At 44.4% G+C, this 16,395-nt stretch overlaps 1 long non-coding RNA gene across 2 annotated transcripts in view, besides 2 other annotated features; it reads right to left on the bottom strand.

Annotated features, from left to right (window-relative positions):
• Positions 1-16,395, bottom strand: part of LOC101927182 (uncharacterized) — a 204,657-nt gene that overhangs the window by 130,720 nt on the left and 57,542 nt on the right. The window lies entirely within an intron of this gene.
• Positions 4,642-5,553: an enhancer, noted in NCBI's record as "H3K27ac hESC enhancer chr20:40600872-40601783 (GRCh37/hg19 assembly coordinates)". NCBI's record gives its function as "activates a minimal SCP1, AML or CMV promoter by ChIP-STARR-seq in naive H9 embryonic stem cells {active_cell/tissue: H9 hESC(naive)}" and the evidence as "EXISTENCE:reporter gene assay evidence [ECO:0000049][PMID:30033119]".
• Positions 5,554-6,466: an enhancer, noted in NCBI's record as "OCT4-NANOG-H3K27ac hESC enhancer chr20:40599959-40600871 (GRCh37/hg19 assembly coordinates)". NCBI's record gives its function as "activates a minimal SCP1, AML or CMV promoter by ChIP-STARR-seq in naive H9 embryonic stem cells {active_cell/tissue: H9 hESC(naive)}" and the evidence as "EXISTENCE:reporter gene assay evidence [ECO:0000049][PMID:30033119]".

Here is a 16,395-nt window from a genome sequence, read left to right as displayed (position 1 = left end):
ATAAGGTCCTGCACCTTCCACCAAGACACTGACAATAGGTTAAAGTATGAGTTGGAGAACAGAGAGAGTCCCTAGGGGAGAGAATACTTCGACAGTCCCTCCATGAGATGGTCTGTGCTCCAATTAGGGAAGATGGCAGGAAGAATCATTTGAGGAAGGACATGACTGAGAAATTAGAGCAAAGATCTTGGGCTGACTGATCACGGAGCTGTAAAGAGCACCAACTTCAGCAGATTTATCCATTGAGTCAGAGAATAATGGAGGAGGAGCCAGTGAGTAGGAGAGGAAGCCTGTAATCAATCTGGGCATGCATGGACACTCATGAACACTCTGGGTTTGGAGTACCCATAGGTCATCCAGCTGCAGACGTCAAATAGCCATTTGGATATTTGGGTGTGGCACTCAACAGAGAGCTTGGTGCTAAAGGCTGAAATTTGGAGGTCACCTGCATGCAGAAGTTGTCATAAATTTGGCTGAGATTGTCCAGAAGGGGATAGAGAAGGTACCAGAACTACCTATGTGGGTGCAGGGTGCACACATGCACTCTTCTATGCCTGTCCTATCTCATCCCCCAAAACCGAACCAACCCAGGGTGTCTGTGGGGATGGAGATCTAGATAGGAGCTTAGATATCTCCTTGATGGAAAAAAATGTGAGAATTTTGGAAGCAGTTAAATCTGGATTTGAACCTCAGCTCTGCTGTCTCCTAGCTGTGTTGACCTCAAGGATGTTGACTCACTTCTCAGAGCTTCCATTTTCTTATCTGTAAAAGGAGAACTGTAACACCTTCCCAGCTGAGTAGATGGAGACTCAATGTGATACATGCATGTTTATAGGGTGCTTCCTGACACCCAGGAGGCACTCAGGAAATGTGAGTGGACTTCTCCCTTCCCTCCCCATTGCTGCCTGAAGGTGAGTAATTAAATGGTTCTTGGTGGTGACACTCTTAGGTAGTGGCCGTTTTCAAACATGTGCTTCATGCGGTGCAGGATGTCTGACCTACCCAAAACAGAGATTTCTTTCACCATCTTTCTATGTTTCACCAAGGAATAGAGCCCCATGCACCTCTCTTTTGTTCCATCCCTAGGCCTGTACCTGGCCTTAAAACTACAGCTTCCCACATCCCCAGACATTATATCCCAGAGTAAAAGTTTGTTGAATGAATATCATTTACCTATGAGAAATCCCAGGCTCAGAGATGTCAAGAAACTTACCCCAGGTCACTGCTGCCTTAAATCCAGGGTCACACAGCTGAATGTAAAACCCATGAAATTTTCACTTTTCAAATGACACTAAGAGTGTTAATTGATTTTTATTTTTAATTCTACTTCTCTCAAGCCAAATTTGATGGTCTGAAAATGGATCCAAATGGCTTCTGCATTTGCCAAGGTCATTCCCTATCTATCCAAGGGCAGAATTCTGCCCAGGAGTCATTGTGTGTAGAGGCTGCCTCTAGTGACCTTGCTGTGGGAAAGTTTTCCCTGGGGTGTAATGGACCTAACGTGTCAATGCTGTTTTTCCTGGCTTTCTGCTGCCTCCTGTTCATGTGAAAACTCCCTCCCAAGGACAAAGCTCTAGTCAAAATGGTTGATATTGCATTATGCTCTTGAGAACTAGAAAGCAATTCACAGCAGCAAGAAAAAAAAAACAGATGATGTTAGGAAACAAGTGTAGCAGCTCCATCCCTCAGGTTTTCAACTGGGCTTCCTGGGAAAGGGCAAGCAGCAGACCCTTCTTTCTTCCTCACCCCTCTGGCTGTCTTCACCTATTACGAAGCTGAGTGGGACCTCCACCTGCCCATCAGACACTCCAGTATTATCATCATCAGCCAGCACTTCCCTAAGATTTCTTGGGCTCTCTTGATTTCAAAAACAATTGTGCTCCCCTGCTAACAGATCTGTACTTCCTAAAACCTTTCATTAAACAGGAAGACAAGGTGAACAATTTAGAGCTCGTGGTTCAAGCTTAACAGCATTCGGCCCAAGCAACTGTACGTAACTAGGAAGCAGAGACAGAATGTTTATTAATAATGCACCAGCTATAATTACCAAGCCTCCACAAGATCAGCACACTCACCCATCTGCTTTGGTCTCTACCATACACTGCTTTCCACCCTGAACCCACACAGAAGAATTTGCAAAGGCCTAGGAATTCTTCCCCAGATGTCAAGAAGCCAGCAGTCTGCAAATCTCCAAACCAACTTCATAATAGTTTGTAATTACATATATGTTTGGTTATTTGATTAAATGTTTGTCTTCTCCTCTAGACCGTGAACTCCATGAGGACAGGGCCAGGGCCTGGTTTGTTCATAGTAGGCACTCAATATTTACAGCATGAGTGAATGAATAAAGGATGCACATGGAAAGGGTGGAATGTCTCTTTTCCTTGTCTCTATATTCTGCCAGTCAGCCACAAGGCATGCTGGGAGCCAGTGAGGAGGAAGGGAGGAATACAAGGGCTTGGGAGCTAAACCAGCCGTAGTGATCTGGACCCTGTGAGGACTGGCACTGGAATTACGTCTGAAGGAGGTTATGAACCATCTCCCACTAAGGGCCCAAATGAGTGGTTCCTGAGTAGGTAGAAGGTATGTTTTACAATGGCACTGGATGGGACCAGGTGGTGAAATGGTCAATGAGGCCTGTGTCGATGCTGTCTTGTATTATCAAGACATGTGTCCATCACAGCAGGACACATATGTCCTGCCTTTGCACAAATAAGTGAACCTGATCTGTTTCCCAGGACCAGCGATGAGAACTGCCTAACCAAACTCACGTTTGACCTTGAGCAGGAGTGAATCAATGCTTTACTCATCACAACTCTTGAACCAGGAGCTGTTTATTCCTACATAGCAGCCAATGTGACCATGAAGTGGGATCAAAATCAAAACAGAAGAGTGGGGTGGGAGTTCCAAGCAGAAGGCAGCTTTCAGCACACATGGCTGGGTGCCCTACTCTTGGCCCCTCACCCTCAATCACATCAGTGCTGCACCTCCAACTGCCACACCTGCAGTTCTTTGCCTCAGGGCTTTCTCCTGTTTCCAAAGCTCACTTTTGCCCATGTAAGTGGCAGACCTGGAGGTGCTAGAAAATTAACATTCAACCCTCCTCCCCACACCTCCTCAACTAACGACTGATGGGAGTTGATGTATAAATACCCCAGTTCTCTCACTCTTCAGGGGAGGATGACTCTGTGATGTGATATACACTGGCTCCCAGACACTCCCCAGTGGGTTAAGCTCCAGTCAGCACAGCATTAGCAAAGGTGGGTTTGCTAATGTAACTTTTACTAGCTGCCTTTCCTTCCCAGTTTCCTGCTCCCTCTCCATGCTTCCTAGGATCAACTCTTAAACTACACCCACTTGGATCTTTGCCTCAGTTCTCCTTTTGGAGAAACCTAAACTAATACAACATCGTATGTGTAAAGGCCAGGAGAGGAGAAACAAGAGGGGAATGAGAAATGCCAAAATGTGTTCGTTGAAGGTGGTACAGATAACAGGAGATGGGAACAGGGCGATTGAAGCAGAAGGCTAGGGACAACCCTAAGGGGCCTCCTATACAAGTCAGGGGATTCTGGTTTTGTCTGGAGGGCAGTCACCATCTGTTGCTTGGGAAACAGTGTTGCAGACTGTTGTGCTGCAGTGCTGCATGTGAGAATGGCTCTTGGGGTCAAAAGTGACCCAACAGTATCTAATCCTGCCCCCTTCCAATATGTGAATCCCTTCCACAGCATCCCCATGGCTGTTTGAACGCTCCCAGTAGAGTGAGAGCTCACTCTCACCAAGGTCTACCTAACTTACAGAAAGTTCTAAAAATAGCCCTCTTATTTCTTAGAAAGATCTCATTGTTCTACCACATGAAAGTCCTGAAATATATAAACTGTCTCTTCCCTGACTCTTCTCTTCTCTAGGCTCAGTCTGTCCATTTCCTTCCACCATTCTCCATGTCACAAGGTCACCTGTCTCTGCCCCATCTCAGGCCCTGTCCTCTACATGCACTCTAGACCCTTAGCTTTGGGAATGATATTCCAGGTGTCATCCAACTAGCCCAGAACACAGGAGGCTTCCAGTATCTGCTTCCAGAGTGTCTTTAGCTCAGTAGGCCAATATAACTACACACATAATGACCCTGACCCACAGCAAGCTGTTGACTAAAACCACTTTTAGCCCCTCACTCATTCATTCAACATATGTTTTATTGCATACTTATTGTGTGCTAGGCACTGTTGCAAGTGCTGGTTATGGATCTACATTTTTTTTAAAATCCCTTATTTTATGGAGTTTATATTCTAGAGCAGAAGTTGGAAGACTACTTCAAATCTGGCCTGCTGCCTGTTTTTGTAAATAAAGTTTTATTGAGACATTACCATGCCCACTTGTTGGTTTCTATATTGTCTGTCAGTTTTCACACTACAGCAGCAGAATTGAGTAGTTGTGGCTGAGACCACCTGGCCCACAAAGCTGAAAATCTTTTCTCTCTATCCCTTTATAGGAAAAGCGTGCTAACCCTCACTCCAGAACAGCTACTGGAATGCTACATGCAAAGACCCTGCTCTCTTAAAGCTTGTGTTCTAGAAGCTTATGATGCACCAGGCAACATTTGGGACATCAGGATTCTGCAGTTTGCAATCAAAGAATCTTCCCTCATGAAATATTCTAAAACGCCAATTATGTATGTGCCCTGCTCTGTGCATGGCATGCATACAGAGGTGAACTTGACTGATAAAATCCTTACCTCCATGGGCTTCCCAATCTGGTTGAGGATAAGGTAATAAACAAACATGCAAAAACATAGCTTTGGGTGACAATAAATGCTATGAAAAAAGGAAGCAGGAGCTGGGATGTCCTTGTAGGGGCTGCCATCCTCTGTCTCCACAATCCTGTCCCTGTGCAGCTGTTTTGGATACACACAGAGACCCTGCTATGGATGTAGTCCTGCTACATTCCATCTGGTTGGGCTAGACTTTTGGTCCTGGGCTACTGAGATGTAAACTCAATCCCATTGGCCACTTCAGCAGGATCCCTAGAGGACTGGCCCGACCTCAAGCCCTAAGGAGGCGGTGCCTACAGATGCACAATACACCTTGTGTGTCCTCTCATCTCCTCCTTTCAAAAGGAGAACAGCTAGATGGGTGTGTGTGTGTCTAACACTTTAAAGGAATCTTTACTGCTTCTTTTAACTAAAGCATTTTTCCACGCAAGTTCCCCTGCTCAAGCGTTACTTCTAATTACCATTTTCCTTTTACGGTGTGTTGTGTGGAGCTGCACAGAAGTAAGCTCATGGTGAGCAAGGGCCCCAGGGTGGCAGAGAAAATAAGGCCTTGCTATTAGAGGACTCGGTGAAGCGGCAGCTTCTGCATCTTCCCGGCAGGGGAGAAAAACGGTCCAGAAACTGCACTGTACTGGGCCGGACACAGCTCAGTAGAACCTGGCTCTGAGAAGGCTTTGTAAAGTAAGGAAACACCATTGGCTTTGAGGGATTATGAAAGTTCTACCCAGAAGCTCTACCCAGGACCCACCAAGACCTGACTTCCTCATGCATGCTTTGTGTTCTTTCAACACATATGCAGGGATCGTCACAATGAGGCTTGGATATGTCAAGCTCTTATATGTGTGGAATGCACATATACCAAGCATTTAGAATGGTGCCTGGAAGACAGTATGTACTCGATAAATCCTTGATTGTTATTATGATGATGTGTAGGCACCATCTTCATTTATTCATTCATTCATACATTCAACTTTCTAGCAAACACTGGCGAGAATCAATGACATCCCAGACTACTGGAGATACAGAGATGAACACAGTAAGGATGGATACAACTTGTCCAGAAATGAGATATTGGGTCAGGGAGAGGGAGGGCTAAAGGATTGCAACACCATCTTGTAAATAAAGTTTTACAATACTCTCTTAGAAGGATGGTATTTGTAGGGGTGGGTTGCCCCTACACACCTGTGGGTGTTTCTCGTAAGGTGGGACGAGAGATTTGGAAAAGAAAAAGACACAGAGACAAAGTATAGAGAAAGAAATAAGGGGAACCGGGGAACCAGCGTTCAGCATATGGAGGATCCCGCCAGCCTCTGAGTTCCCTTAGTATTTATTGATCATCTGTGGGTGTTTCTCAAAGAGGGGGATGTGTCAGGGTCACAAGACAATTGTGGGGAGAGGGTCAGCAGACAAACACGTGAACAAAGGTCTTTGCATCATAGACAATGTAAAGGATTAAGTGCTGTGCTTTTAGATATGCATACACATAAACATCTCAATGCTTTACAAAGCAGTATTGCTGCCCGCAGGTCCCACCTCCAGCCCTAAGGCGGTTTTTCCCTATCTCAGTAGATGGAGCATACAATCGGGTTTTATACCGAGACATTCCATTGCCCAGGGACAGGCAGGAGACAGATGCCTTCCTCTTGTCTCAACTGCAAGAGGCATTCCTTCCTCTTTTACTAATCCTCCTCAGCACAGACCCTTTACGGGTGTCGGGCTGGGGGACGGTCAGGTCTTTCCCTTCCCACGAGGCCATATTTCAGACTATCACATGGGGAGAAACCTTGGACAATACCTGGCTTTCCTAGGCAGAGGTCCCTGCGGCCTTCCGCAGTTTTTGTGTCCCTGGGTACTTGAGATTAGGGAGTGGTGATGACTCTTAAGGAGCATGCTGCCTTCAAGCATCTGTTTAACAAAGCACATCTTGCACCGCCCTTAATCCATTTAACTCTGAGTTGACAGAGCACATGTTTCAGAGAGCACAGGGTTGGGGGTAAGGTTATAGATTAACAGAATCTCAAGGCAGAAGAATTTTTCTTAGTACAGAACAAAATGGAGTCTCCTATGTCTACTTCTTTCTACACAGACACAGTAACAATCTGATCTCTCTTGCTTTTCCCCACAGGTATTGTCATTCACTGAGACTGGAAACAAGGAAAGGTCTGCACTGGAAGGAATTGGGTCATGAGTAGGTTTGGGAGCATGATGAGTAGAGATGTCTGTGGATATCCCAGTAGAAACATTCACTGGGCAGTTGGGTATATGGGCCTGGAGCTCAGGGAGAAGTCTGGTCAGTCCTAAGCTGTGGCTTGGGGCTGCCTGAGCATCTCCTCCTGCAGATCTGGCCTAATGCTCAGAGGAGACCAGAGAGGGGTTACCGGGACCTTGAGGGTGTTAGCATAGATTAGCTTTCAGAGCTTCATTATTTACTTGAAGACCAAGGGCACTGATTAGCCTTGGACCTCTGCCCAAGAAACGGGTGGGCCCAACTCATAGGCCACATTTTATGCATCTATGTATACATATATATCCCTCTATTATATATATAATACATATATATAATGTCTATATTATATATGTATTACATATGTAATATATAATAGCTATATTATATATAATAAACATAAGATATTTTATATGTATATAAAATACACACAATCTCTAGTGTACTGTTTGCCCTGTCCCAAATCCTTTACAAAATTAACTTACATCCTTGCTGCAACCCTATGATTAGCTAATATTATTAAGTTTTATAGACAAGAAAAGATGACAGACAGAGAGGTTAAGTAACTTGTTTACAGTCTCACAGCTATTAAGTGATACAAGCCGGGATTCAAACTCGGTCTGGCTCTAGGTCTCCGCTCTTAACTGTTGTGTTGTTGCTTCTTCCCAGCACCGGTGCAGCTCCTGCATGCGCCTAGAGAAATGTACCCATCCCCCTACCATGCCTGGAGCTGGCTGGGGTCACAGGAAGGGCAGGGGTCTCCTCTGCCAAAGCCACAGGCAGCCCCTTCCCTGGGGCCCCTCTCCATGGGCCCCTTTCCTCAGACAGAAACCCAGCCCCTGCTTCTAGCCTCTGCTCCTTCCTACTGGCTCACATGCTGTGCCAAGGACAGTCCCAGGGCCCCGGGCACAGCAGCGGGGACTGGAGTCTTGGCAACAGGATGTTGGCTCAGACTGCTTCAGTGTGGGCCGCCTCCTCCAGCTTTATTAGTCGTCTTTTAAAATAGACTTTTCTATTTCAAACACCTCCACTTACCACTTGCTGCTCATCTTTCAGCACATCCACTGTGTTTCCCTGTCATCGGAATATGCTACACGGAATATCACAGACATGCTGACTGTTTGTGAAAGAGCAGCCTCTTGAGAAAGAGTTTTCTTTTCCTCTTTTAATTATGTCATTTTCCAGCTGGCCTTTTTCTTTTTGAAAGGTGAGCTTCTGATTACTGATTGTTCAACCACTAATTTCAACATCTTGATCACACTTACTGGATTGAGGCAGGAAGCATCTTCAGCTGATCATGCACGTCTACCTTCTTACTTTGCAAATGAAGCAGCTATATCTCAGAGATGGAGCTTGGCTTGTCTGAGATCACACAGCCAACTAGTGGCTGAGCTGGGGCTGAAACATGAACCAGTTAACATTGCAGTGTGAGGATTTAATAATAGCAAGAATCATGTTGATAATAATTCATATTTATCACACTGTTACAGTTTGCAAAGCATAAACTTTAGTTCTCAGATCTCTGGACCCTCCGTGTTCTACGGATCATGTGCATGGCTGTCTCCCCTAAGGAGAAAGGACCTTCTCCTTCCAAAGCCAGATATCCACTCTACCAACTTCTGAGATTCCAAGAGCTACCATCCTGTAAGAACAGAGTGCCCATGATGACATTTGAGTTTCATCAAGGGGTAATGAGCCCTTACTGGAGAGCCTCGTGTTAATCCTATAGTCACCCCAGGGCTAACTCTGCAGTCAGACTCCTCCATCTCCCCAGACACCACCTCTCCCTCCTCTTTCTGGTGGCTGTGTTTCCCCATGGGGTGGCAGGAGGGCACTTGGCTTCCTCCACTAAACAATGAGATGTCTTCACAGTAAAGTCACAGCAATGACAAGTGTCAACACTGCAAGACACACAGAAAGTGTTTCATCCAACTCTCCTGCTTTGAAGATCAGGAAGCAGAGGCCCAGGGAAGGGAAGGAACTTGCTCAAGATTACACTGATTTGACACGAGAAACTACCTCAATCAGTTGTCTATTGTCCTCTGTATTCTAAACAGCCAGCACTAAATGTGCTGGGTACTCTCTGCCTCTGGCTAAATGCTAGCTTGAGCATGGTTTCTTTATTGTCTTGTTAAATAAAAATGGTCCTGAATTTGCTGGTAAGATGATCGAATACGAACAGCTCTGGTCTGCAGCTCTCAGCGAGATCGACGCAGAAGGTGGGTGATTTCTCCATCTCCAACTGAGGTACCCAGTTCATCTCATTGGGACTGGTTGGACAGTAGGTACAGCCCACAGAGGATGAGCCAAAGCAGGGTGGGGCGTTGCCTCACCTGAGAAGGGCAAGAGGTCGGGGAATTCCCTGCCCTACCCAAGGGAAGCCGTGAGGGACTGTCCCGTGAGGAAGCATGCACTCTGGCTCAGATACTGTGCTTTCCCCATGGTCTTCGCAATCCGCAGACCAGGAGATTCCCTCTGGTGCCTATGCCATCAGGGCCCTGGGTTTCAAGCACAAAACTGGGCGGCCATTTGGGCAGACACAGAGCTAGCTGCAGGAGGTTTTTTTCACACACCAGTGGCACCTGGAATGCCAGCGAGACAGCAAGACGGAACCATTCACTCCCCTGGAAAGGGGGTTGAAGCCAGGGAGCAAAGTGGTCTGGCTCAGGGGGTCCCATCACCACAGAGCCCTGTGAGCTAAGATCCACTGGCTTGAAATTCTCGCTGCCAGCACAACAGTCTGAGGCTGATCTGGAACACTGGAACTTGGTGGGGGTAGGGGCATCCACCATTGCTGAGGCTTGAGTAGGCGGTTTTACTCTCACAGTGTAAAGAGAGAGAAGAATCAAATAGACGCAATAAAAAATGATAAAGGGGATATCACCACTGATCCCACAGAAATACAAACTACCATCAGAGAATACTATAAACAACTCTACACAAATAAATTAGAAAATCTAGAAGAAATGGATAAATTCCTGGACACATACACCTTCCCAAGTCTAAACCAGGAAGAAGTTGAATCCCTGAATAGACCAATAACAAGTTCTGAAATTGAGCTAGTAATTAAGAGCCTACCAACCAAAAACAAAGCCCAGGACCAGATGGATTCACAGTCGAATTCTACCAGAGGTACAAACAGGGGCTGGTACCATTCTTTCTGAAACTATTCCAAACAATAGAAAAAGAGGGAATCCTCCCTAACTCATTTTATCAGGCCAGCATCATCATGATACCAAAACCTGGCAGAGACACAACAAAAAAAGAAAATTTCAGGCAAATATCCCTGAGGAACATTGATGTGAAAATCCTCAATAAAATACTGGCAAACCGAATCTGGCAGTCCATCAGAAAGCTTATCCACCATGATCTAGTCAGCTTCATCCCTGGGATGTAAGGCAGGTTCAACTTACGCAAGTCAATAAACGTAATCCATCACATAAACAGAACCAATGACAAAAACCACATGATTATCTCAATAGACGCAGAAAAGACCTTTGACAAAATTCAACACCCCTTTGTGCTAAAAACTCTCAATAAACTAAGTATCAATAGAATGTATTTCAAAATAATAAGAGTTATTTATGACAAACCCACAGCCAATATCATACTGAATGGGCAAAAACTGGAAGCACTCCCTTTGAAAACCAGCACAAGACAAGGATGCCTTCTCTCGCCACTCCTATTCAACATAGTATTGGAAATTCTGGCCAGGTCAGTCAGGCAAGAGAAAGAAATAAAGGTTATTCAAATAGCAAGAAGAGCAAGTTAAATTGTCTGTTTGCAGATGACATGATTGTATATTTAGAAAACCCTGTCGTCTCAGCCCAAAATCTCCTTAAGCTGATAAGCAACTTCAGCAAAGTCTCAGGATACAAAATCAATGTGCAAAAGTCACAAGCATTCCTATACACCAATAACAGACAGAGAGCCAAATCATGAGTGAACTCCCATTCACAATTGCTGCAAAGAGAATAAAATTCCTAGGAATACAACTTATAAGGGATGTGAAGGACCTTTCAGGGACAGCTACAAACCACTGCTCAAGGAAATAAGAGAGGGCACAAACACACGGAAAAACATTCCATGCTCATGGATAGGAAGAATCAATATCATGAAAATGGCCATACTGCCCAAAGTAATTTATAGATTCAATACTATCCCCATCAAGCTACCAATGACTTTCTTCACAGAATTGGAAAAAACTACTTTAAAATTCATACGGAACCAAAAAGAGCCCGCATAGCCAAGACAATCCTAAGCAAAAAGAACAAAGCTGGAGGCATCATGCTACCTGACTTCAAACTATACTACAAGGCTACAGTAACCAAAACAGCATGGTACTGGTATCACAACAGATATATAGACCAATGGAACAGAATAGAGGCCTCAGAAATAATACCACCCGTCTACAATCATCTGATCTTGGACAAACCTGACAAAAACAAGAAATGGGGAAAATATTCCCTATTTAATAAATGGTGATGGGAAAATTGGCTAGCCATATGCAGAAAACTGAAACTGGACCCCTTCCTTACACCTTATACAAAAATTAACTCAAGATGGATTAAGGACTTAAATGTAAGACCTAAAATCATAAAAACCCTAGAAGAAAACCTAGGCAATACCATTCAGGACATAGGCATGGGCAAAGACTTCATGACTAAAACACTGAAAGCAATGGCAACAAAAGCCAAAATTGACAAATGGGATCTAATTAAACTAAAGAGCTTCTGCACAGCAAAAGAAACTATCATCAGAGTGAACAGGCAACCTACTGAATGAGAGAAAATTTTGCAATCTATCCATCTGACAAAGGGCTAATATCTAGAATCTGCAAAGAACTTAGACAAATTTACAAGATAAAGACAACCCCGTCAAAAAGTGGGTGAAGGATATAAACAGCCATTTCTCAAAAGAAGACATTTATGCACCCAACAAACATGTGAAAAAAAGCTCATCATCACTGGTCATTAGAGAAATGCAAATCAAAACCACAATGAGATAACATCTTATGCCAGTTAGAATGGCAGTCATTAAAAAGTCAAGAAACAGATGCTGGAGAGGATGTGGAGAAATAGGAACACTTTTACACTGTTGGTGGGAGTGTAAATTAATTCAGCCATTGTGGAAGACAGTGTGGCAATTCCTCAAGGATCTAGAACTAGAAATACCATTTGACCCAGCAATCCCATTACTGGGTATATACCCAAAGATTATAAATCATTCTATTATAAAGACATATGCACACATACGTTTATTGCAGGACTGTTCACAATGGCAAAGACTTGGAACCAACCCAAATGCCCATCAATGATAGACTGGATAAAGAAAATGTGGCATATACACACCATGGAATATTATGCAGCCATAAAAAGGATGAGTTCATGTCCTTTGCAGGGACATGAAGCTGGAAACCATCATTCTCAGCAAACTAACACAAGAACAGAAAACCAAACACTGCATGTTGTCACTCATAAGTGGGAGTTGAACAATGAGAACACATGGACACAGGGAGGGGAACATCTCACACCAGGACCTGTCAGGGGGTGGGGGGCTAGGGGAGGGATAGCATTAGGAGAATTACCTAATGTCGATGACGGGTTGATGGGTGCAGCAAACCACCATGGCACGTGTATACCTATGTAACAAACCTGTACGTTCTGCACATGTACCCCAGAACTTAAAGTATAATAATAATAATTTAAAAATGATCTCATTGGGAATAGCAATAAAAGTGTAGGACAATAGCAACTCACCCACCTCACCCCTGCGTGGTCCAGCTCCATGATTCTCAATCCTGGCTACGTATCAGCATCCCCTGTGGTACTTTATAAATATTCTGATTCCCAGGCCCTGCCATAGATTGAATGGATCAAAGCCCCCAGGAAGTGAGGCCCTGGCATCTGTATTTCTTCAAAGCTGCACAGGTGATTCTAACAGGCCATCAACAGGTAGACCTGATGGCCAAGAATCACATCAGCAGGTTTAGTCATTATGATTGAAATGGAATGTAATAATTATATGTTTGAGCTTTAAAAGCTTAATTCTAAAACAATTAGAACATGAAGCTGAGAGACTGTGAAAGGTTTCTGACCAGAGGAACTCTTTCTGAGGCACACCTAATATGCAGCAGGCAAGCTTGAAATGTCTCCATTTACCCCTGCTTGCAAAAAGAACACATCAGACCCATGAAGTCATAATATGCCTCACTCATGAAAACTATGAATGCTCAGGTATGAATAGGACCATTTTTTTATTTGCAAATTAAGAACATAGGTGATGAATAATACAATTACCGATCAAAATTTATCTTAGTCTTCCCAGGTGGTCTTTGTCTTCATTATCTCTACTACTAACTCCCAAAATCCAATCTGTCCTCAGATCAAGCAGAAAGTCTAAGTCTCAAAATCAAAGCTCTTTTGAAGGACAATAGGTTCATATGGAAGCTAGAAGGGCAAAAGGAAAGGCATAAAATAAAATAGGAGTTCCTGTGACTCAGGATAACTGTACTCTGGACTCCATCCCCACCCCTACCCAGACATTCACTCTTAGTGCACAGCTGAGTAGGGACAAGGTGGCAAGGGTAAAAGAGCATCCTCAAAAGTGACAATTCAATAACAAAAAATGGGCCGGGCACAGTGGCTCATGCTTGGAATCCCGGCACTTTGGGAAGCCAAGGCAGGCAGATCACCTGAGGTCAGGAATTCGAGACCAGCCTGGCCAGAATGGCAAAACCCCATCTCTACTAAATATACAAAAATTAGCCGGGTGTGGAAGCGCAGGCCTGTAATCCCAGCTACTTGGCTGGCTGAGGCAGGAGAATCGCTTGAACCTGAGAGGTGGAAGTTGCAGTGAGCCAAGATCACGCCACTGCACTCCAGCCTGGGTGACAGAGCGAGACTCCGTCTCAAAAAATAAACAAACAAACAAAATGTACTACCTGATGAGAGAGAAGGAGGGTTAGAGGCATTTAGTCCTAAAGCTGAAGAAGGGTAAAAAAAAATCAAGGAATTTTTTCAGCTGTTTTAAGAAATACAAGACAGGAACTGTTCAGATTTCCCCTGAAATGAAAAAGGGCACCTGTTCTGCTACAGTGAGAGGAAAATAAAGGTGGAAATCAGCATTGGTTGAGGCTTGAATGCTTTTCTGGCTCTATATTATATTCATATCTTTTATATTCATCCTCTGCTCCTGATTCAACCATCATTCCAGCTACGCTCATGAGTAGTTACAAGGATCCCCATTTTGAGGATGAGGGAAATGATGTGTTTTTCTGTTTGTTTTGTTATTTTTTTAGAGATAGGGTCTTGCTCTGTTGCCCAGCTAGAGTACAGTGGCATGGGCATAGTTCACTGCAGCCTGGAACTCCTGGGCTCAGGCAATCCTCCCACCTCAGCCTCCTAAGTAGCTGGGACTACAGGCACGTGCCACCACATCTGGCGGAAATGATGTCTGAAGTGGTCAAGACCCTCCCAAGATCCAACAAGCAAGGAGAATATGCAGCTCAATTTCAACCCAGGCCCTTTTAACTCCAAGTGGGGAAGAGATATCTTCCCACTGGGGAGACAGAGCTTTGTTAGGATACAGTGAAAAGCAAGAGGGTCCTGGTGTGGTGGCTTATGCCTGTAATCTCAGCATTATGGGAGGCCAAAGTGGGTGGATCAGCTGAGGTCAGTTCAAGACCAGCCTGGCCAACATGGTGAAACCCCATCCCTACTGAAAATATAAAAAATTAGCCAGGCGTGGAGGCACACACCTGTAATCCCAGCTACTCTGGAGGCTGAGGCAGAAGAATCGCTTGAATCCAGGAGGCATAGGTTACAATGAGCCAAGGTCACACCACTGCACTCCAGACTGGGCAACAAGAGCGAAACTCCATCTCAAAAAAAAAAAGAAACACAAGATTAAGGTAAGGGGGGCTTTCTTTATCCATTTCTGTAGGAGCCATGGACATCTGGCCATTGGACTTGTATATTACTAGTATATTGGAACTTGCTCTAGCTAGGATATCAGAAACACTCCTTTTTAGCATTTCCAACTGGCACACTGGAGCTGTATGTGAAGAGGAGTATTAAATCACCCCTTTTACACTTCCATTTTGCAATTATTTACCCTTCTCCTGTGTCATTATTTCAAACCCTTGGACTGTCATTTTTGCTGTCCTCCAAGTTCCTCCCATTCCTCCTTTCATGGGGAGCCAAGAGTTGCTTCCTTCCTCTCTGCCATGTTCCCTTGGCCATATCTTGGGGCAGGACCCAGGGGGAACTGCTTAGCAAAATGGATAAGTGGTCTGGAGAATTACAGATCAAGAGAGCACGGGCAAAATGAGGGATGTTTAAACCGATGTTTATCTGCCAGACACTAAGCTATTATGTTGGTACAAAAGTAATTGCTTTTAATGGCATTACTTTTAATGGCAAAAGCTGCAATAACTTTTGCACCAAACTAATAAAAGTTTATATCCATTATGCCATTTGATTTTCATGATAAACTTGTGAAGTGATACTATCCTCCATTTCACAGATGAGAAATCTGAGGCATGGGAAAATCAAGTAACTTGCCCAAACTCATAGAGTACGTGTCAGAAGCAGGCTTTGAACCCAGCACTAATCCAGAAACCTGTGTTATTTCCACAGTACAATGGTTCTGCGAGAGCTAGGAAAGAGCACCAATACGGAATAGTTGGGGTGGGAGTAGTCAAGGGTGCAGGTAAAGGTTGTTCATCTGAAGGTTGGAAATGGCTCAAACTAAAGTTCAGGGATATCAGTAAGGGTGCTGATAATAACAAGGTGTTACCTTCAGATTGGATAATTTAAGGGAACTTTACTAAAAAAAACCATTTACCAAGGTATAGGCAGAATGTAGGAAAACCACAAAGAATAATGCAGAACTTCAGGAACAGTAACAGGGAATGCTCTTACCCACCCTAGCTGTATTAGTCTGTTCTCACACTGCTAATAAAGACATACCTGAGACTGGGTAATTTATAAAGAAAAGAGCTTTAATTGACTCACAATTCCACATGGCTGGGGAGGCCTCACAATCATGGCAGAAGGCAAAGGAGAAGCAAACACACACCTTACATGGCGACAGGCAACAGAGCTTACGCAGGGGAACTCCCATTTATAAAACCATCAGATCTTATGAGACTTATTCACTACCATGAGAACAGTATGGGGGAAACTGCCCCCATGATTCAATTATCTCCACCCAGACCCACCCTTGACACATGGGGATTATTACAACCCAAGATGAGATTTGGGTGGGAACACAGCCAAACCATATCTCTAGCCTATAAGGAGCAAGGGGAGGAAGTTACTGGAAACTGGAGAGGGAGTGCCATGCAGAGAGGGCCAGCTACCTGGAGCCTAGATCCTGTGGAGACACAGGGAGGCAGGCAGGG

Source organism: Homo sapiens, chromosome 20, assembly GCF_000001405.40.
Source record: "Homo sapiens chromosome 20, GRCh38.p14 Primary Assembly".
Lineage (NCBI taxonomy): Eukaryota > Metazoa > Chordata > Mammalia > Primates > Hominidae > Homo > Homo sapiens.
The sequence above is the reverse complement of the archived record's forward strand: the minus strand, read 5'-3'. Positions and strand labels throughout refer to the sequence as shown.